Below are 22,486 nucleotides of genomic sequence, written 5' to 3' on the forward strand. Positions count from 1 at the left end.
ATTGGCATAGGAGAAGGTGCTATAGTTTGGATGTTTGTCCCTAATCTTCATGTTGAAATTTAATCCCAATGTTGGAGGTAGGGCCTAATGAAAGGTATCTGGGTCATGCGGGCAGACCCCTCATGAATAGATGATTAATGTCCTGAGGGGGGCTGTGAGTTCTAACTCTGTTAATTTCCTTGAGAGCTGGTTGTTAAAAAGAAATCTGATACCTCCCCCTCTCTCTCTTGCTTCCTCTCTCATCATGTGATCTCTGCACATACCAGCTCCCCTTTGCCTTTTGCCATGAGTGAAAGCAGCATGAAGCCCTCACCAGACGCAGATGCCACATCATGCTTCCTGTACAGTCTGCAAAACTGAGAACCAAATAAATCTCTTTTCTTTATACATTACCTAATCTCAGGTGTTCCTATATGGCAACACAAAACACAGAACACAATAACAAAATGGACTGTAAAGAATAGACAAAAAAGAAAGAAAAGCCTCTAGAGCCATGATTTCCCAATGGTTCAGCTATCATGGGATTGGAGAGTTGTTCTGGGTGAGTTAAAATGATTTCCTGCAGTCAGAAAACAAGATACCAAGATATGTGAACCTAGAGGGCCCAGGTAACATGGTCTCTAAGTTAATATGTAAGATTAATGTATATACCATGCCAATGGGAGAGTGGGTAATACAGATGAAGTCTGTTAATGGAATATTGTTTAAAATAACAGAATTATGGAAAATTTTGAGCCTTACCTTCTTAATTCATGACAGTCAGCATATAATAAAAATATTTTAAAACAATACAGCAGAATGTATAAGAAAGCAGAGAATATGTGCACACATAGATTAATGTTATCAAATGGCATATATGTATACCTGTGATAATGAGTATAATTTAGGCTTTACTATTTATAACTACTTTAACATTAATTTTATTTTGTTGATCATTTGAATTTGATACTTTGGGTGTTGGGAGGCTTTTTGCAAGTGAATTTTCATGATTTGTAAAAAGGAATTTTGAGTTGATTATTGTCTAATTGTATAATTAGTCTAATTAGACTAATTATAACTAATTAGGTAATTGATGTAAATATGTTCAGTCTTGTAATTAGATGGTATAATTACAATACACAAGATGATGTCATGAACATCTTTACAAAAGTTCTAGACTAATGGAAAGTGAATTTTCAATTTGTAAGATTTAAGCAATTGTTTAACATTTCTTAAACAATTACAAAATTATCTGCAATACATATATTTAACTTTTGACATTATTTTTTAACAAAAGAAATAAAAGGAAGACATACAATGTATATTAGTTAGTGGCCCTTACCAATGCTGACATTGCTGTAATGAAGCAGCCTCAAGCCGTATTTCCATATTACTTATAAAATAAACTAGAACTTTAAAAAAATTATATTCATTCATTTTGATACTTAGATATCAGTAAAAACTAAAGTCTGTCAATTTAGATTCATTTTATGAAGCTCTAATGACTAATTTATTACAAATTTATAAATAGAAAATGATATATGCTGGCCTATGTCTTTTAGTAGTAAGTGAGTGGAAGGACGAAAAGTATAATTATTCGTCTTAGAAATACTGCATTATGTGCTTATGAATTCATATCAGCTTTAGGAACACAGACCAATTTTTTTCTGGAAACATTGTCTATAAAAAGGTATAAACAAGATTTTTGTCACTCAACAGAATTCAGGAATAAATATTCAATTCAAATTGCTATAGTTATTAACATATAATGAATGGGTATACAAAATAGATATATCTCATCTTAGAAATTCTATTTTATTAAAAACAAGACATTATTATTAAATAACATTATTATTGAAAACATATCTTCAAAAGAAGTTTCATTTTCTAACATTAAAACTTAAGTAGACATATGATCTATTATCTGAACCCTTCCACCATATATACCCAGTATGACTTCCCAGCTTCACAGTTCCCTGTTCTCCACACATACTAATTATTGTTCTAACTAACCAGAGATACAGATACTCTTTGGAGACATTGTCTTTCTTCTGCATTACTTGCATGTGCTAATGTCTCCACCTTGAGTGCTCCCTCCATAGCAGTGTTGTGTAGCTCTATTTAGACAACGATTTTTATTTTATATCATAATTATTGATCACCTTAAGTTTTCCTTTATATATCAACAAACATTAGAGGAGAAGCCTTGCCTAGTGACCTCTGTGTCTCTGGAAAAGGTATGCCCATATCTTGAATATACTAGATCTTATTTTAACTGAATCTTATTTACGTCATGAAGCCACAAAGGTCAATGACTATCAACCTAAGGAGATAAATTTAAAAATTAAAATATTATTGAAGTGCTCCAATACAAACAATACTAACATAAAAGTTTTTTTCATTATAGAGTACACATGGCAGTATGGGAAACAGTAGTTCAAGAAATCAATAACATCTAAGAAGTATATATGTATATGTTTATATAAGGTTATATATACATATATACACACAAATATATATGTGTATATATATGTATATATATACACACATATATATACACATATATATATACACACATATATATACACATATATATATATACACACACACACATATATATATATATATATACACATATGGAGAGAGGGAGAGAGAGGCATAAAAACACTAGCACAATAAGCAAAAGATAAAGTAAACAGGGAAAGAGTAACCCAATATGGAAGTATAAAAAGGAAGGAATGAGACATCATATCAGCTTTTCATAGATGGCTTCTCTGAGATGATGAGTCCTCAGTGTTAAGAAGGCCTCTGCCATATTATCAAACTAAAGAATACCTAGAAATAAATTTAACCAAGGAGGGGAAAGATGGATACAATTCAAACCATCAAACATCGATGAGAAAAACTGAAGAGGATACAATTAAATTGGAAGATATCACAGGTTAATGGATTGGAAGAATTAACATTGTTAAAATGTCTGTGCTATCCAAAGTGATCCACAGATTCAATCCAATCTTGTCAAAATACCAATGAAATTCTTCACAGATATTGGAAAACACAATCCAAAATTTCTATGAAACCACAAAAGATCCCAAACAGCCAAAGCAATTTTGAGCAAAAACAACAAAGTTGGCATCATACTATCTGACTTCAAAATATTCTACAATACTATAGTAACCAAAACAGCATAGTACTGACATAAAAATAGACATAGAGACCAATGGAATGGAATAGACAGCACATAACCAAATCAACACACTTACAGCCAATGAATTTTCAACAAAAGTGCTAAAATCTCACATTAGGGAATGGACAATGTGTCTTCAGTAGATAGTGCTGGGAAGCTTGAATATTCACATGCAGAAAAGTAAAGCTAGACTTCTATCTCTCCGCATATAAAAACATCAACTCAAAATGAATTCAAGACTTAAATGTAAGACCTGAGATAACACAACTACTAGAAGAAAACATAGGGGAAATGCTTCATGACATTGGTCTGGGGACAGGCAACTGAAACAGAAATAGAGAAACAGAATTATATTGAACTAAAAAGCTTGGGCATAGGAATGGAAACAATCAACACAGTGAAGAAACAACTTACAGAATGGGAGAAAATATTTGCAAACTATGCATTTGATAAGAGGTTAATATCTAGAAAATACACAGAACTCAACTCAATAGCAAAAAAAAATCTCATTTTAAAATGGGCAAAAGATGTAAATAGACATTACTCAAAAGAATACATACAAATGACCAACAGTTATGTGAAAAAATGCTCAACATCACTAATTATTAGGGACATGCAAAACAAAACCACAGTGAGCTATCACCTCCCTCCCATTAGAATGCTATTATCAAAAGGACAAAAAATAACAAATTCTGGTGTGGATGCAGAGAAAGAGGAACACTTATACACTGTTGGCGGGAATGCAAATTAGTACAGCCATTATGGAAAACAGTATAGAGGTTCCTCAAAAAATTAAAAATAGAGCTATAATATGATCCAGCAATCCTACTGTTGGATAGATCCAAAAGAAATTAAGACAGTATGTCGAGGAGATACCTGCACCTCCATATTTATTACAGGACTATTCACAATAGACAAAATATGGAATAAACCTAAGTGTCCATCAACAGATGAATGGATAAAGAAAATGTGGAATATGTACATAATGGAATACTATTCAGCTATGAAATAATGAATGCAGCTATAAAATAATGAGTGTTTATTTTACCTAATATAATGTTCTCCAGATCCACCCACATTGCTGCAAATGATGGGTCTGTCCCAGAGCCAGCAACATGGATGGATCTGGAGGACATTATGTTAAGTAAAATAATTAAGGTACAGAAAGACAAATACTATATTATCTACTCATGTGTGGAATCTAAAGAAGTTGACCTCATAGAATTAGGGAGCACAATAATCATTAGCAGTGGTTAGAGAGAGGGAGGTAGAAGGGAGAATAGAGAGAGATTGGTTAATAGGTGCAAAGTTACACTTTGGAGGAATAAATTCTAGTGTTCTATTGCAGAATAAGTTGACTATTTAACAATATTGTATTGTATGTTTCAATACAGCTAGACGAGAATGTTCTGAATGTTCTCACCATGAAGAAATGATAAATGTATCAGGTAATGGATATGCTAAATACCCTGATTTGATTATGATACAATGTGTAGACATGTATCAAAACATCACACCATACCAGATAAATATGGACAATTACAATGTATCAATTTTTTAAAAGTTTGATTGTGCTTGTTTAATAAATTTAAAATAAATTCCTAAATACTTTGATAGTATGAAAGATTTTCCAAAATCTGGCCAAGGCCCCTGTGTTCATTTCCAAGTGATTAGACCCATTTGCAGGTTAGAAATAGCCATATAGCCGGGCACGGTGGCTCACACCTGTAATCCCAGCACATTGGGAGGCCAAGGCAGGTGGATTGCTTGAGGTCAGGAGCTTGAGATCAGCCTAGCCAACATGGTGAAACCCCACCTCTACTAAAAATACAAAAATTAGCCCAGTGTGGTGGCAGGTGCCTGTAATCCCAGCTACTCAGGAGGCTGAGGCATGAGAAACGCTTAAACCCTGAGGCAGAAGTTGCAGTGAGTGGAGATCATGCCACTGCACTCCAGCCCAGGTGACAGAGCAAGGCTCCATCTCAAAAACAAACAAACAAACAAACAAACAAACAAACAAAAAGAAATAGCCATATAGAGAAAAGATGTTTAGAATTTCCTCATTATCTATAAATGTTATCATGTTTTACAAGATTCTAGAGGAAAACATGTTTTCTAAATCTTAATGTCCATATTTTAAAAATAAATTGACAATAGAAAAATAAAATATGTAATAGATGATCATTTATCTGGATAATATTTTAAACTAAAAAAATCATTTTAGTAACAATTGGAGAATGCATTAAAGTACTGCGGAATGTATGGGGGAAAATTCAGTCCTGCCTGCTGGCAGAGAACACTTAGTATCATAGTGGCCTAAATCAAGAGACGATCAGATTAGAACAGGCTTCGTTTCAGTACTATGTTATGGTGAACTGACTAGTAATACATGTGCGATGCTGATTTCCAGAGATTTATATTTTGGTAAGTTAAAACTGTTCTATACCTTTTAAAAAATAAAGAATACATATTTTAATTTACAATCTATTTGCAAAACAGGAATATATATGATGTGTGCAGATGTTATCATATAATCACTGCATTATTCCACAGTTAATGTCTAAATATTGGCAATTATACTAATCTGAAGGATCTCAGGCCTTAGTTTACCATATAAGGAAATATATTCAATGGTGAAAAATGGGATCCTGAGTAGCTGGGATTACAGGCACGTGCCACCATGCCCAGCTAATTTCTGTATTTTCAGTAGAGATGGGGTTTCACCATGTTGGCCAGGATCATCTCAATCTCTTGACCTCATCTCAGCCTCAGCCTCCCAAAATGCTGAGAGTACAGGCATGAGCCACCACGCCTAGCCAATTTATATAATTTTTAAAATTATTTTTCATTATCACAATACTTTTGAACATTTGTCCAAATTTTTTTTTATTTAAAACTTTTTCATTGTTAATTTAGGTTTATGCTTCTTTCATCAAAAAACCTTTATAATAACAGCATGCAAATATTCCCACGAATTTCAATATCTTCCTCAGGACTTATTAATTCCTTACTCTTTGTGTATTACACAAGAATATTTCATATTACGCTCACTTTATGTAAAATTAATTCAACTTTTATTAAATACATTTTTAATGACTCGTTAAATATTTTCATTTTTAGCATAATTAAAGCTCTATTTCTAAACCAAGTCAAAAACAAACATGACTAAAGGAAATTAAAGACATATCTTTCCTAAAACTAAAGCCAAATAAATTTCAAACAAGTTTCTTCATTTTTTTAATAGTTATTCACCATTTGCAAATGGGGAAATCAAAATCTCTCCTTTTGAGAAATACTTTCCACAAAACCCAAATCAGCTAGCAAAATGTATAACTATGTACATTATAGTGAAACATAGGAAAACTTATAGATTAAAAAAAAGTTAGGACATAGTAAGTTAAAAAATGTTTTCAAAAGTTAACATTTTAAATTTAACTAACCACATAAAAATAAGTTGTCCTTTATATTTAAGTTCTCTAATCTTTAAGTCAAGCACACATTGGTTTTTGAAAGGCCAGAATAGAGAAACTATCTTTTCAAATAGCTATGAATTCATGCTGCCTGAATTAGGAAAGTATCCTAGCAGAGTAGGGTGGAAATACTGTACCTTAATTCATACCTGGGTAAAGAATGGTTCATAAATCTCAACTCCTTTATCAGATCCTTGCAGCAAGACCTCCTGGCCACGTCTCCAGCTATACCGAACAGGAGGATTGGAATTGGCAACACACCGGAGGAACACTGTTCTCTCATAGTAAAATTGTTCTTTAGCTTCACCTATACTTTGATGAACAGTTACTACTGGATCATCCAAATCTAAAGGAAATAAAAACAACCAAATGGCAATGTTATGAGATAGATGACTTTTAAAGTATTGTGCTTATATAACCCAACCAAAAATGCATATTCCTCATTGATTGTATTACTTACCACTAGGTACTCTTTTTTTCACTCAGCTTATTGAATTCATTTACAAAGACGTTTCCAATGATAAGAAGTATATTAGTATCTCTATTTGTGGATATAGTAAAATTAATCTTGTATATTTCTAACTCTTTGTCAATAGCCACATAAAACAGAGTTCCATGAGAGAGATAAAAATTTACAACACTCAAATTCAAGAGCTTAGCCAAAACAATGAACCTCAGTGACAAAAAAAAAATTAATATCAGGCTGCTTGACTTACTCTTTCTCTTTTTTCTTTTTTTAAAACAGAGTCTTGCTCTGTCAACCAGGCTGAAGTCCAGTGGCGCAATCAGAGCTTACTGCAGCCTCAACCTCCTGAACCCAAGCCATCCTCCTACCTCAGTCTCCTGAGTAGCTGAGACTACAGGCATGTGCTACCATGCCCGGCTAATTTTTTTTTTTTTTTGTACAGACAGGGACTGGCTATGTTGTCCAGGCTGGTCTTAAACTCCTGGCTTCAAGCGATCCTCCCACCTCAGTCTCCCAAAGTGTTAGATTACAGGCGTGAACTACTATACTAGACCTCTTTGTCTTAATATACTTCTTTTTCCAATTATTTATAACTTATATATTAAAAATAATTTAAAAATTACAAATGATTAGAATATGTATAGTACCAAAATATGATCTTGCACAGGACTAAATGTTATCTCAAATTTTATATTCCAGATTATATTTGTTAATTTGAAGAGTGCTAAAAGGCATTATTAAAAGGCACTCCTGTTTCTATTACTGGATATTGGAACTAATTATGTGTCATTTTGCATGTATCCTAAAGAAAGACTGTACAGTAGAGGCTCAGCATTTTCTGAAAAAGGTCAATTCATAAATACCTTGGGCTTTGTGATTCAAATGATTGTTTCAACTACCCATCTCTACCATTGCAGTGTGAAAGCAGCAAAACACAATAGGTAAATTAATAATGAATGTTGCTGAGTTCCAATAAAACTTTATTTATAAATACAGACACTCCTCAACCAGCTTTGGCTAATGGGCCATAATCTGCCAACCCCTGATATGGCATATTCCAGGTTCTTTTCTTAAGCGAAAGATAAATTTTAAAAGTGTACTTCCCTTAAAGCAGCAAGCTTTTAGTTCCATGTGCTAGTATAAACTTAGTATATACTTTAAGTATGATGCAAAACCTGCTGTGTTCATTACCACCTTCACCCAGCTTTACCCCTTTTAATTATAACCAAGAAAGGTTACTTAACTTTGGGGTCTTCAATTTCCTTGTCAGCAGATCGGAATGATAATGATACCATATTATTTAGGCTGTTGAAGGATTAAATGAGATAGTCCATAAAGCCCTGGACACATAGTATTAAGTTGGTGCAAAAGTAATTTCAGTTTTTGACATTACTTTTAATGAATGCTTAATAAAAGTTGGCTATTACTATTATTAATAATATTACTATCATTATTGGAGTCTCATTTAAACTCCTATTGATTCTATGCTGTTTTCTTGTTTTTATTTCACCAATTCATAATACATTCAACTCTTATTATAAATAGGTAAAATGCCACTTGCCCATTGTCCAGACTATCAAATGCTTCTACATGACAAAAACTTTAACAAAGGCCTGGAAATAACCTACAGTATTTATATGGACATAAGAATAGTGAAGTGTGTGAGCATATGCTACCCTGAATATTTAAAAGACATTGTTCCTTAGAAAAGATTCTCTCTGATGTGTTAACATAATAAAATGCCAACCAAAGTAGTGAAGTAATAGCTACCTTAGAGAATCAAAGTAAAGAACAGAATCCAAAATTTCCCCATTTTTTAAAAAGTTTTTTTTCAAATGTGATTCACTTGACAGCCCTACTTTGATTTCTAGTTTTGCAACATTCTGAGGGCTTTTTTTCTTCCAACATCAGAATATTTTCACAGCTACCTCAAAGGCCTCTAATTTTAGTAGTTTAAATTTACAGAACAACTGCTGCTTTTTGGTAAAGCTTAAAGGAACTTTCCATTTAAATTCATTCTATTAGCTGTGCAGCGATATATGCTGTCTGGTTTTATTAAGTTCGGATATTTAGGGATACCAGCATCATTATCATAAAATGTTTTGAGATTTTTAAAACCTATCAAATATTCATTAATTTGGTGATTAGCCTTTCATATACATCATATATATTGATTAATTGAATTTAGCCTTAGTGACTTGATAAAAGATACTCTGATTCAATTGTAAACAATTTACTTTTTTTCTTGTTCAAAACATAATCTCTTTAGTCACAGGCTCATTTTTAGAAGTTATGAGCTGTATGTGTTGTAAAAATTAAATTCTGAATTCAGAAAGCTCAGGAACAAAACAGAATTTGATGGTAAACAGTGTAACAATGATGACTTCCAAACAGTTAATAGGTTTGTACTTTCCAACACCCATTTCTTGATGTATCCCCAGCTCTTTCTTGTCAAGTGGTGGTGTCAACAGACTCAGTCAGGAATAAACCAAACCTGTTCTTCCCTGGTCTGGATGACTTTTGGGTCATTGGTTTTCAAGATTCTAATTTTGTGACAATGGCTTATAGTATTGGCTAGGTTATCTGTTGAATTGACTCATGTTTAGAAATTTCTAAGTGTTTTTTGCATTTCAGATTTAAAAACAACATGCCAAAACAAGATTTGTTTAAGACAAGTGAAATGATGGCACAGCTAAAAATATACAATTTTAAGGGAGATTATATATGTATGTTTGTGTGTGCCCACATGTATGCCCATGTGTAGATATACATACTTATATATATAATAATATATAATGTAAGTAATTTATACACACATATCACTTAAATCTATTTTAATATATATTCTTTATATTACTAAATATATATTGAATATTTGTATTTGATTTAGGACAGGTTTCTGAGAAAACAGATTCAGAGATGTGTGCGCAGAAATGGTTCTGGGAAGTATCTTACAGATCAACACATATGAGAGAGTGAAAGAAGTAGGACTGATCAAGGGGAGGGTTGAACTACAAAAGGTCTCAGTAGCTTTGCAGAACTCTCTGAGCTGTGATATCCCCTCAAAGCTGCCCTGCCCTGAGGCAAAGGGGCTAAGCCTTTATACACCGACCACCTCCCCTATCAACAGGTCATTCAATTTGTGCTACTCCTCGCTAGGAGACATAACCTTGGGAGGGCCTGCTCTGTTTGGCTTATTTCTAGAGAGAGCAATTTTACCTGATAGCAATCATCTGTTAATACTCTCAGCAGCGGGAGGAATGAGTGCTTCAGTTCTGGGGAAGGGATCTAACTGGTGCACTGCAGTATCCAGTCAGATCTACTTGCTAGGTGTGATAAATCTATCTGTGAAAAGCTATTCCAAGACTCTGGTTAGTCTCTTTCTGGGAAAACTTTCAAAAGGAACTATAGTAGGACTATATCCATCATCTCCTTCTACTATTGCCATTCTAGATTCCTCTCACCCTGCGCTAGTACATTTTTTGGTATAGGTAGCTTACCTAGTTGCATTACTAGAATTTTGTCAGATTTGAGCCCTTGATCATAATATCTTCTCAAACCAAGGCTGATGTACTTGTCTGTTTATGACCAAAATTGAACAAGAGAATACCGAGAAATGACTCACTGCATTAACTGGGTATCAAACATACTGTTTCCTGCCTCACTATGTAACAACAGTCCTACCAACAGCCTCATATAGGCTGGTCACTCCCACCAGGATAGTGACTCCTCTTGTCTGCTGCTTCCTGACACAGAAGCCTAAAGTTACTGAGTTGATGCTATGGCTTAAAGATTAATGGGACTCTTGCTATGTCACTTAATAGAAGCTTTTTCCCTTTCTGGGAACTGGGACCTCTAAACTGGCAGAGCCCAGAGTTGCGGGAAGGAAAGCAATCCTCCAGTAGGTCACTGGATGTGATGATAGTGAGGTCACTTCTTGGTTCTTGGACCTGGTATTCTATAAGGAGAAAAAGCAGCATATAATAATGGTCATTGATTTAGAATTTAACTGCATCATGGAGGGTAGCACCCACTCCTTACTGAATATTTTCTCTGTAAGACTCAATTGCCCTCTCTAAAAGGCCATTCTATCGCTCTATTAAGTTGGCATTTTTAGTTGATGTAGTACGTATGACCAGATAATCCATGGCAATGTGCCCACTCCAGAATACTGATATCCAGGTCAATCTGGATCCTGTGTATGACATTTCTCAAAGTATCTCAGGAGTCCATTCTCCCTAGTGTATGATTATTCAAGTAAATGGATGTAGGTTTTTTATAGAAAGAAATGAGAGAATAATTACCACATACATTTGCTATGGTGTTTCGGGGTTCTTTCTGGTGATTCAGTTGAAGTTTTCAGTCAACGAGCTCAAAATCTGAAAATTGCCTCAGGTACAGAAATTGGACAAGGATCGTGGCTTTTCATTAGACAGCCATATGCAGACTCTTACTCACCCATTTTTAATTTGTGTAGATTGTGCAATAGTTTCTTGGCTGTCCACTTATTTTCCCCTAGAGATGCTGTGTTCTGTTAACCATCTCCATAGCTCTCTGTGATTCTGGAGTCTTAGATATATTTGAACAAGCCATTCATTAAGATAAATGTGCCTGGCTGGGCACAGTGGATCATGCCTGTAATCCCAGCAGTTTGGGAGACCAAGGTTGGGTGGATCATTTGAGGTCAGGGGTTCGAGACAAGCCTGGCCAACATGGTGAAACCCATCTCTACCAAAAATACAAAAATTAGCCAGGCATGGTGGCAGGCACCTATAGTCCCAGCTAGTCAGGACGCTGAGGCAGGAGAATTGCTTGAACCCGGGAGGTGAAGGTTGCAGTGAGCCAAGATCACACCACTGCACTCCAACCTGGGGGACAGAGTGAGACTCTGTCTCAAAAACAAAAACAAAAAACAAAAAATAAGTGTGCCTCCTTTTCTTGTGACAACTAAGAACTACCTCCTAGCCTCCATTATTTTGAAAACCTGTCATCCCCGCTGTTACGAGAGAGGCCAATTCTATAATAGCATCTACTGCTATCAACATTTGCCTACAGAGGACAGTCCAGTCACCACTGAGCTTCTTAATGATGCTTGTGTCTCAGCCATCAGCACATTCTTACTGCTTTAGTCAAGGAGGTATTCTCCAAGCCTTTACAAAGAAAAAGTGAGCTGATGATATTTCTGGAACTTATATGACATATTCACTTTAGCATTCCCACTTCTCTGAGTCATTTGGTCCTTTTTTCATTGTCTGCACAGCAGTTTGGGCATTTATACTTTATTTAGTGGAGACCATTGCTTTCCCCAAGCTTCCAAGAGCCATCCTAGCAGTGTATAACACTATTTCCTGCTGTCCTTGTCTAAGTGTTAAATCTTGTATCATGGTGGAATGTTCCCATATCAATAATCTGTGTCACTATCCTCACTTGATCCTATTTTCCATCCTCAATTTTATTCAATCTCTTATTCTCCATCCCATCTCATCCAGCAGCCTCAGCATCTAGCTCCATACATACTTCCCTAACTCCTGGCTGAGGTCTATAGCTAATTTAAAGCATAATCTTTTTCCTGTCTTAGAAGCCCAACAATTCCAGAGCCAAGTAATGTCATCTATTGACCCTATATGGATCTGGTGGCCAGAATGGAAGTGGGGTTCTATCCCGAGAAGGGTGTGAGTTACCTCCAAGGGAAGAGGTTTCTGTATCATCTTCAAGCAAGATGGAAATGACTGCCTCTAATTAGGAGGAATAGGCAACTTCCATAGGTCCAGATGGTTTAGGATAATTTGAGACTTCAAGGTTGTGGAGTCCATAAACTCAGATGTAACCTCCCGTAAGATTCCCCTTGTTCCCAACCAGGGTTCAGACTCTGGCATAGCTGAGGATGCAGGCCTCTTGAAATTCTGTTATACTTTTAAATAAGTCCTAAGCCTTATTATCTGCTTTTATGACCTTTGACTGCAGAAGATAAGAATCTCTTTGTATTTTGCCAAAGAGGTCTTATGCTCACATACCACGGTCAAGTGATGATTAATTACACTCAGCCTTTCATTTTTTTTCTCCACTGCGTAAAAGGAACCCAGCAGAACCTGATTCCATTGTCCTTATAATTATTACTTTCCTCTGAATTCCTCAGAAGCCTGAAATATTGAACTCACAGGGCATTACCTTTCCTCAATACCTATCCTTATCACAGGTGAAGATTTTAACAACTTCCCACTATAGCAATCAAGAGCTATAAGTGGTTGGCTGGGCGTGGTGGCTCATGCCTGTAATCCTAGCACTTTGGAAGGCCAAGGCAGGTGGATCACCTGAAGTAGGAAATTAAAGACCAGCCTGGCCAACATGGTGAAACCTTGTCTCTACTAAAAATATAAAAATTAGCTGGACATGGTGGTGCATGCCTGTAATCCCAGTTACTCAGAAGGCTGAGGCATGAGAATCGCTTGAACCCGGGAGGTAGAGGTTGTAGTGAGCCGAGATTGTGCCACTGTACTCCAGCCTGGGTGACAGAGCAAGACTCTGTCTCAAAAAAAAAAAAAAAAAAAAGAGCTATCAGTAGCTACCTGCCAACAGCAATGGGGCCCTCACTGCAGCCAGCTAGTTGGCTGCTGAGTGATCCACCTCTAAAATTCCATTTTAAAGTTATCTTCCTCAGATCACCTAGAATGGGTTCTTTGGAAATCTGATTCTTTGACGAAGACATGCATTTCGGAAGTTTGTTGGAGAGTGCCCTCAGAATCAACTCATGTAGTAGTGTTTTAAAAAAAGAGGGATTAGGCAGTGGAATGAGTTCAACTGTGCTGCATTACTTCCAAATAGGTCAGATGGAGCTGTTCAGTTGAGAAGGCCTTTCAGAGTGGCCCTGCAGAGTTTTCCTACAAAGGAGATTGATGCTTCACTGCATTAGCATTTCCCACAGTGAGGTGGCTCTTGCCAGCTGAGGACAACTCCATTAGAAGGGCTGACTGGAGAGCCAACATCTTCCAACGCTTCCAGGAAGAAAAAGCACCTGCTACAGAGTTTTATGATAAGGACTTGAAGTTACTATTCATAATTTTCTCTAGCTTTTAAATGTAGTTCAGGAAGCATAAAATATGTCTCTATGTTTATTCAACAGTCAATTTTCATACTTTATGACCCTGATAATATTACCTAACCACACTGAACTCTCTTCTGTTATTGTTATTTTATTTATATTTATCTCTTTAAAATAAATTTAATTTTATAAGCTAAATGTGTGAAATTCAAATATCTAGATATTAAATAATTACAAAATATTATTTTAAAAGTGTATGATTTTTATTATTAAACTGGGGCCAAAATTCTTCACATATATACAGTAATGTAAATAATTATCTTATTTGATATGTATTTATTTTAAATATATTTCAATAACAATATGGTTTCCTATAAAATATATTTCTATGTGTATAGGACTCATACCTTATATTTATATTCTTAAAAACCAATATAATAGGCACACTCAATAATCTAATAAATTAATATAAAGGAAGATTAATCTGTCATGAATATAGTCAATGTCAGTTTTCAGCAAGGAAATTGATATGTATCATAATAATTAAGAAAAATGTGTTTTTTCATTTAAATGCAGTAGCTACCCCTTTATAACTAAACTAATTTTCTTGAAACTTTTTTTGGCTGATCAAATGTGCCAAACACTAGTAGATTAAAGTCAGTTTAAGAAAATTAATGTAATATATGCTGTTTTCCTCAACTCTAGAAATAACTGTCTCCCAATTGTCTCCCAAAAGAATTTGTGGTATGAAAAATTTGACATAGGTTTTGATGTAATGGTAAGAGAAATGTTCCAAGACAATCTGAACTTTTCCATGGTTTTTCTTTGTATACCTATAAGAATTATCTACTTGCCCAGTTTTACTTTGCAATATTTTTTTGAGTTTCTATTAATCTCAACATGTAGGTGTTCAGGACATGGTGTACAAATAATCAACTAATGAATGCTATGCCTAATATTTATTGAATACCTATTTTGGGCCAGGATGTTTGGAAGAAACTTTACATATGCCAACTAATTTCATTTTTATAGAAACCTCGTCTCTTTTAATGTCCTGGGAGTCAAGTTTCAGAGAAATGAAGTAATTTGCCAGTATATATGTAACACGATGAGTATTATCAAATATATCTTAATCTAAAATGTTTATGTTCATTATCTTCATGCATATTTTACATGTCTACAATATGGTAAGCATTATGTAAATAACTCAGTTTACAAGTAGCCTACAGTTCATGAGTCAAAAAAAGGCAAATAAATGAATAAGATGAAAAAAAAACACAACACAATTAACTAAATGATCCTATAGAGATGTAAGCCAAATACAGACAACTATTTCTTTCTGGAAAGAACAGTAAAGGCTACCTGAAAAGATGATGCCTGAAATAAATCCTAAATTATGAAGAGAGTATGCCAGATAATATATTAAATTAAATAATTACAAAATGTTATTTTAAGTGCATATGACTTTTATTATTCAACAGGGGCCAAAATTCTTCACAAGTATAGAGTAATGTATACATGTGAAGAGTAGGAAGTAGCACACATAAAGCTCTGAGATATCAGAGCCAATATCAGATATCCAGCAAAGCTAGAAAAGACTTCTGGGTATTGAGGAATAGTAATTTGGTATGATGTTTGAGAAACAAAAATGGACCAAATCATTAGTAGCACCATCTATGCTAAAGAAAATCCATTCCATTACTTTTTTAGCCAGGCTTTCGCTTTAGAAAGATCATCCTAGCTCCTTCTGGAGAAGAGATTTGGGGGTGGCAAAAAGAGTGGTAAGGAGATCAGTAAGAAGGTTGTGGTAACAACTGAGATGAACAATGACAGGGGCTTTGAAATAAGGGTGACAATGGGCATGGAGAGGAGGCTTAACTGAACTGAACTAGGTGAGTGATTAGAAACCGGGCTGGGCAAAAGGTGGGAGTTAAAAAAGGTCTCTAAGGACCTGGATTTGGCAGTTGGGTAGACAGTGCACTAACTGAAACATGAAACGTAAAGAGAGAACTTCACCTGGCTGTGGGTGGAGTGGGATGGGAGTTGTAAAAGGTAAGAAAGTTGAGTTCTGTTTGGTTGACGCAGCTCCTCCAGTTGCAATGTACACGACCTAGAGCCAAAATAAGTCTGGGCTACAGATATGGATTTGGGAGTCATCAGTATGCTGTGGAGGGGAATGGACCACTCAAGGAATATGCAGAATGGAAAAAGGGAAGGACCAGTGAGAGAGGCCTGGGCAGCACTAAGTACAGGCAAAAAAAGAAAAGAAAAGAAATAAAAAAAAAAAAAAAACAGTTGGGCGGGAGGGCTTTGTAAAAGACTAAGGAAAAAGTGATAAAGAAGAAGAGAGGTAGAGTCAAAACAAATCAATAGTAAATAAAATAGCACTTCCACAGCCATGGAGAGGTTGGAGAGCAGAATAAGTGGTGAAAAGACAACAGAACTGGAAAGTGACTTTAAATTTGGCAAGTAATAGATCACTGGGGACCTTTGCCAGAGTTGTGTCAGTGGAGTGATGGGTCTAGCATTTTCCTGTACTTTACAGAGTGAAAGTCAAGTAAAAACATGGAGAGATTAATGGGTATAATCCTTTCAAGAAACTTGGCTCTAACAAAAACATAAAAAATAAAAAAAGTAGTTAGGGGAGTAGAGGACAACATGTGATCAAGAGAGTCTTGTTTTGTTTTGTTCCTGTTTTGTTTTTCATTAAGCAGAGAGAGTTTGTTTTTCCTTAAGCTGAGTGCATTTAAATTCCTAGGATAAAATAAAACATAAGGAGCATTAGGAAAATGCCCAATGTTTGAAATAGCTATTTTTTAGTAAATAATTATTATTTTAGTGTTATACTTTGATGGCAGCAGTGGCCCCATTTGGAGTGGCTGCTGCAAAGACGACGACCGCAGTGGGGGAGATGCAGCTAAGGCTGTGCACTCCATGGAAACTGCGGGAGCCGGGAACAGGCAGGATTCCTGCCCCCTTCCAAGTTGGTGGGGTGGGAGCCCTGTGATCCCAGGCACAGCTGCAGCCACCCAGCCGCAGCAGTGGACCCGGACATCCCTGTGCTCTTGGCCTGTGAAGCCCCCCTGCCCCTGCATGCTTGGAAGTGCCTGCTCCCACTGCCTGGCCTCTCCCGGCTCCCAGCACTGGCTCCAATTTTGGAGCAAAGTTGTGGTCCAGCCCAAGCGCTGTCAAGACCAGGCCTGGTGTGTATGATGCTAGGGTCGGTACTGACACACCAGCCTCTTACTACCTCACCCACCTCCGGACTTTAGGTAGTGACAAGTACAGCAGAGAGGCCAAGATGGGGCTGAGGGCCACTCGGCACCGGCCTGCAGGCACTCCCTAGCATGAACAGCCAGGGCGCCATGAAGAGGCAGATAGGCGGCTGGGCGGAAAGGGGCAGGACCCCTGTGAAATCCCACCTTCAAACCATGGACTCTGTAGCATGGGGCCTAGGCTGCCAGTTCCCCCTACCAAAGTGAGAACTTATGGTGCTTTTTCCAGGGTTGCCCATGGCTGCCCATGGACCAATCAGCAAGCACTTCCTCCCCTCGGAAGCCGATTAAAATCCCAGACTCAGCCAGACTGGGACAGACAACAGGATAACCTCCCTAGGGAAAAGAGCTACACACTGTGGGTCTCCTCTCCACTGAGAGCTGTACACTCATCATGACAACCTGAGGGCCGTACAGATGCTGCGATGACCTGCCTGCGAAAGGAGGTACCCACTTCAGGTCTCCTGAGACCTGTGCTATTGCTCAATAAAGCTCCTCTTCGCCTTGCTCACGCCTGTAGTTGTCCTTGTACCTCATGCTCACTGGATGCGGGACAAGAACTCGGGACCTTCTGAATGGCAGGATTGAAAGAGCTATAACACAAACAGGACTGAAACATGCCTCCCTGCTTGCCACATTGCGGATGATGAGAAGAAGAGAAGACAGAAACAGAGAAGAGCCATGGTCCTTCGGGAAACCCAGACCTAGCAGCTCCCCAAGCCAGAGCTGTGACACTCTCTTCGGAGCTCTGCAGTTCCTCGCGTCTCCAAGATTCTGGGTACCACCATGTTCCCCAGTGTCTGCAGTGAAAGCCGCTTGCAGTACGCCTGCTCCAGCTGCGGCCTAGCAGGGAGCCAACGCCCATGCCGGGAGTTGCCCACCCCGCTACAGCTGGCATGTCTGGCTGTACACAGTGGCCAGACCCTGTGGTTGCTCAAACAGCCCTCACCGTTCCATGGCTGGCTCACCCTTGACAGGTGTGAGATCCAGGCCAGTAGCGCAAGCTGAGCACAGCCTAACAGGCCGAGAGGGCAAAACAAACCCAGTGAAACTGAGCAAAACTTGGGCAAAGGTGCCACTGGCCACAGAGGTTTCTGGCTGGCAAAGCGACACCCCAAGGGTCTTGCGACATTTTTTATATGAATTTTTTTACAATTCTTTTCTTTTCTTCTTCTTCTTCTTTTTTTTTTTTTTTTTTTTTTTTTTTTTTTTTTTTTTTTTTTGAGACAGAGTCTCTGTCACCCAGGCTGGAGAGCAGTGGCGCGATCTCGGCTCACTGCAACCTCCGCCTCCCAGGTTAAGCGATTCTCATGCCTCAGCCGCTGGCGTAGCTGGGATTACAGGTGCGTGCCACTACCCCGGCTAATTTTTGTATTTTTAGTAGAGGCGGGGTTTCACCATGCTGGGCCAAGCTGGTCACAAACACCTAACCTCAAGTGATCTGCCCACCTTAGCCTCCCAAAGTGTGGAATTATAGGCATAAGCCATCACACCTGGCCAAGATTTATTTTATCAGTTGTGTGTCCCTATTTTTCAGAAGGTTTTCATTTAAGCTTCTAGGATTCTAGGCTAGAAAACTTAAAATTATTTTTGACCCTTCCTTATATTTACATCAAGGCATACGCTTTCTTAACCTCAAAAACTCCAAAGTTAGTTATTATACACTAAATAGCTTCGTTTGAGTTCAGTTCACTAAATTATGGAAGCATTTGTTTAGTCCACTCTCCACTACCACTCGAGTTTCTCTAGTGACATAAACCAGCTAACTCACCTCCCAACATGCACTGGTGCAATTAATCCATAGGCTTATGATTAATCAGTTATTAACTGCGACTGAAGTCACAGGATGTAGTCACAAGTTAAAAAAATCAATTAATCTAAAAAATATTCACAGCAGAAGCATGTTTTCCACAGGAGTTTATTCCACCATTTGGTCCAATTTTTCTGTCTTTAATCTTTGAATTAAACCAAATTAATCTGAAAACCCAGATGGAAAGACACACTAAAAACTATATTGGATGTCATCTTTTTCTCTGGAAAGTTCCAGAAATCTTAAAAATCCTATACAGAAGATATATAAATGTGGTTCCTTAAGGAAAATAATTGCTCAATATACTTGGAGGCACTAAAGCTAGAGAAGCATATTATTTTTTCACTTTATGAACAAGAATTTATATTACTAATACAACTATATATGAATGCACTATATGAGTGATAGCTCATAACAATAGATAACGCTAATTATATGCATATGTCTGTCAATGACCACAACCTGACTGAAATGGTTACTGTGAAGCTATACAAAAGAGAAATTAAATCATTGTTAGACATCAATAATTAAGAACAAAGCATCAATATAAATGATTTGTAATTCTGCAGATATCAATTCAAAAGCACTGTTTTCTTTGATAAATCGATGGGAAATTTTGTTCAAATATTGATGACAGGAAATGTTTCATATCTTTCCTACATAGCAATTTTTGAATAACGGGTAATCTTATTTGATCATTCATAATAAAAGACAAAATGAATACTTACAGCCAACTTCCTCAAATGGGACATTTCTAAGAATGTGGCTATCTATAAAACTTAGATTCATTCATTCTAATGTGAAATTTTGCTTTTACTCATTTACTTACACAAATTAGAATCCATTGCATCTTCAATAAGTTTTTTAAAATATATGCAACTACATGTTTTATATATCTTTGCTAATATTATCCTGATGATTTTGCATATTATTCTAGAGAAAGAGTTTTTGAACCTTGATATGTCCTGGAAAAACTGTCCCAGGATTTTTCTTTTACCTCTTCCTCACTCATTTTCTATCAAACTCCTGAAAAATGAAAATAACAAAGGATATAAATTTTTAAACTATGTACATATATGTGTGTGTGTGTGTGTGTGTGTGTGTGTGTGTGTGTGTGTGTATCTGATATGGTTTGGTTGTGTCCCCACCCAAATCTCATCCTGAATTGTAGTTCCCATAATCCCCATGTGTGGTGGGAGGGACCCAGTGGGAAGTAATTGAATCATAGGGACAGTGTCCACCACGCTATTCTCGTGATAATAAGTTCTCACAAGATCTTGTGGTTTTATAAGGGCTCCCCCCCTCACTCAGCTCTCATTCTTCTCCCTCCTGCTGCCCTGTGAAGAAGTGCCTTTAACCATGATTTTAAGTTTCTGGAGGCCTCCCCAGCCATGCAGAACTGTGAGTCAATTAAATGTCTTTTTTTTGTAAATTATTGTCTTGGGTATTTCTTCATAGCAGTGTGGAACAGACTAATACAGTATCTATACACACACACACACACACACACACATACATTATACATACAGTCATGTGCTGCATAACTGTGTTTCAGTCACAACAGACCGCATATAAAATGGTGGTTCCACAAAGTATAATACCACATTTTTATTGTAGTTTTTCTGTTTAGATACACAAATATATATCACTGTGTTACGACTGCTTACAGCATTCAGTATAGTAACATGCTGTAGAGGTTTGTGGTCTAGGGTTAATAGGCTATACCATATCACCTAGGTGTGTAGTGGGCTATACCATCTAGGTTTGTGTAAGTATGCTCTACAATGTTCATACAATAATGAAATCATTTAAGGGCACATTTCTCAGAACATATCCCTGGGGTGGGTGTGTGTGTGTGTGTGTGTGTGTGTGTGTGTGTGTTCATGTACGCATATAATGTATACAGATTTTTGTCTTTTTGTAAAAATTAAATCATATAACACTTTTTTGATACTTATAGCAGCCTTTTTTTTTTTTTCTGAGATGGAGTCTAACTCTGCCACTCAGGCTGGAGTGCAGTGGCGCGATCTCGGCTCACTACAACCTCTGCCTCCTGTTCAAGTGATTCTCCTGCCTCAACCTCCCGAACAGCTGCCTGGCTAATTTTTGTATTTGTAGTAGAGACGGGGTTTCACCATGTTGGCCAGGCTGGTCTCAAACTCCTCACCTCAGGTGATCAGCGTGCCTCGGCCTCCCAAAGTGCTGGGATTACAGGCGTGAGCAACGCCCAGCTAGCAGCTTTATTTCTAATTGCTAAAACTTGTAGACAACTAAGATGTCCTTCAGTGGGTAAACTGATAAATAAAAGGTAGCACATACAGACAGTGGAATATTATTCAGTGCTGAAAAGAAGTGAGCTCTCAAGCCATGAATACACATGGAGGAATCTTAAATGCATATGAGTAGGTGAAAGAAGCCAATCTGTAAAGGCAACATGATATGATTCCAAATATATGACATTCTGGAAAAGGCAAGCAATGGAGACAGTAAAAAGGCCAGTGGTTGCCAAACATTTGTAGGGAAGGAGGGATAAATAGGCAGAGCACAGAGGATTTTTAGGGCAGTGGAACTACTCTGTGTGATACTAAAATGGTGGATATGTGTCATGATACATTGTCCAAACCTATAGAATTTACAACATTAAGAGTGAAGCCTAATGTAAACTATGGACTTGGGTGATAATGATGTGTCAATGCAGGTTCATCAATTATAATCAGCCACTCTGGTACTGGAAGTTGGTAGTGGGAGGGGTTGTGCATGCATGGAGGAGGAAGTACATGGGAATTTTAATATAACACTTAAAAAAAAATCTTACTTTTCTCACACAAACTACTTCATGGAAATTCCTCCAAGGTAGAGCTCTAATCCTCCCCACCCTTTTAAAAATAGTTGTATAATATCCCTGGTCATGAATGTTTTCTAATTTAGTCAATCATTCCCATTAATTGTCTCTAAACTCCCATTAATTGTCCTTAAATTCTTGTAAGGAACCTGGTTTGTAACTAGTTGTATCGAATTTTGCCTGATTGCTTTCCAAAAGGAATGTACATTTCACCACAAGCATATGAGTATTCTTCTTCCTGAATTTCAGCCGTAACAGGCTTTTTTGCTCTTCTAAATTTTTGTGCACTCTGATTGTGTGAAGTGATAGCTCATTGTTACTTTATATTTGCACTTCCCTGATGACTGGTGAACTTGATTGGGCTTTCACTTGATGATTTTCTAGATTTTTGCTTCCTTGAACTGTCTACTTAGATCCT

At 37.0% G+C, this 22,486-nt stretch overlaps 1 protein-coding gene across 10 annotated transcripts in view; it reads right to left on the reverse strand.

Moving 5' to 3' along the window:
• Nucleotides 1-22,486, reverse strand: part of MDGA2 (MAM domain containing glycosylphosphatidylinositol anchor 2) — an 835,983-nt gene that overhangs the window by 297,670 nt on the left and 515,827 nt on the right. For all 10 annotated transcript variants that reach the window (NR_103766.2, XM_011536519.3, NM_182830.4 and 7 more), the window contains one exon: nucleotides 6,786-6,982. Coding sequence is in view for 5 of the 10 variants with exons in the window: in XM_011536519.3 (XP_011534821.1) it covers nucleotides 6,786-6,982 (197 nt within the window). In the remaining 5 variants the exon portion in view is untranslated. The remainder of the gene's footprint in view (nucleotides 1-6,785; nucleotides 6,983-22,486) is intronic.

Source organism: Homo sapiens, chromosome 14, assembly GCF_000001405.40.
Source record: "Homo sapiens chromosome 14, GRCh38.p14 Primary Assembly".
Classification (NCBI taxonomy): domain Eukaryota; kingdom Metazoa; phylum Chordata; class Mammalia; order Primates; family Hominidae; genus Homo; species Homo sapiens.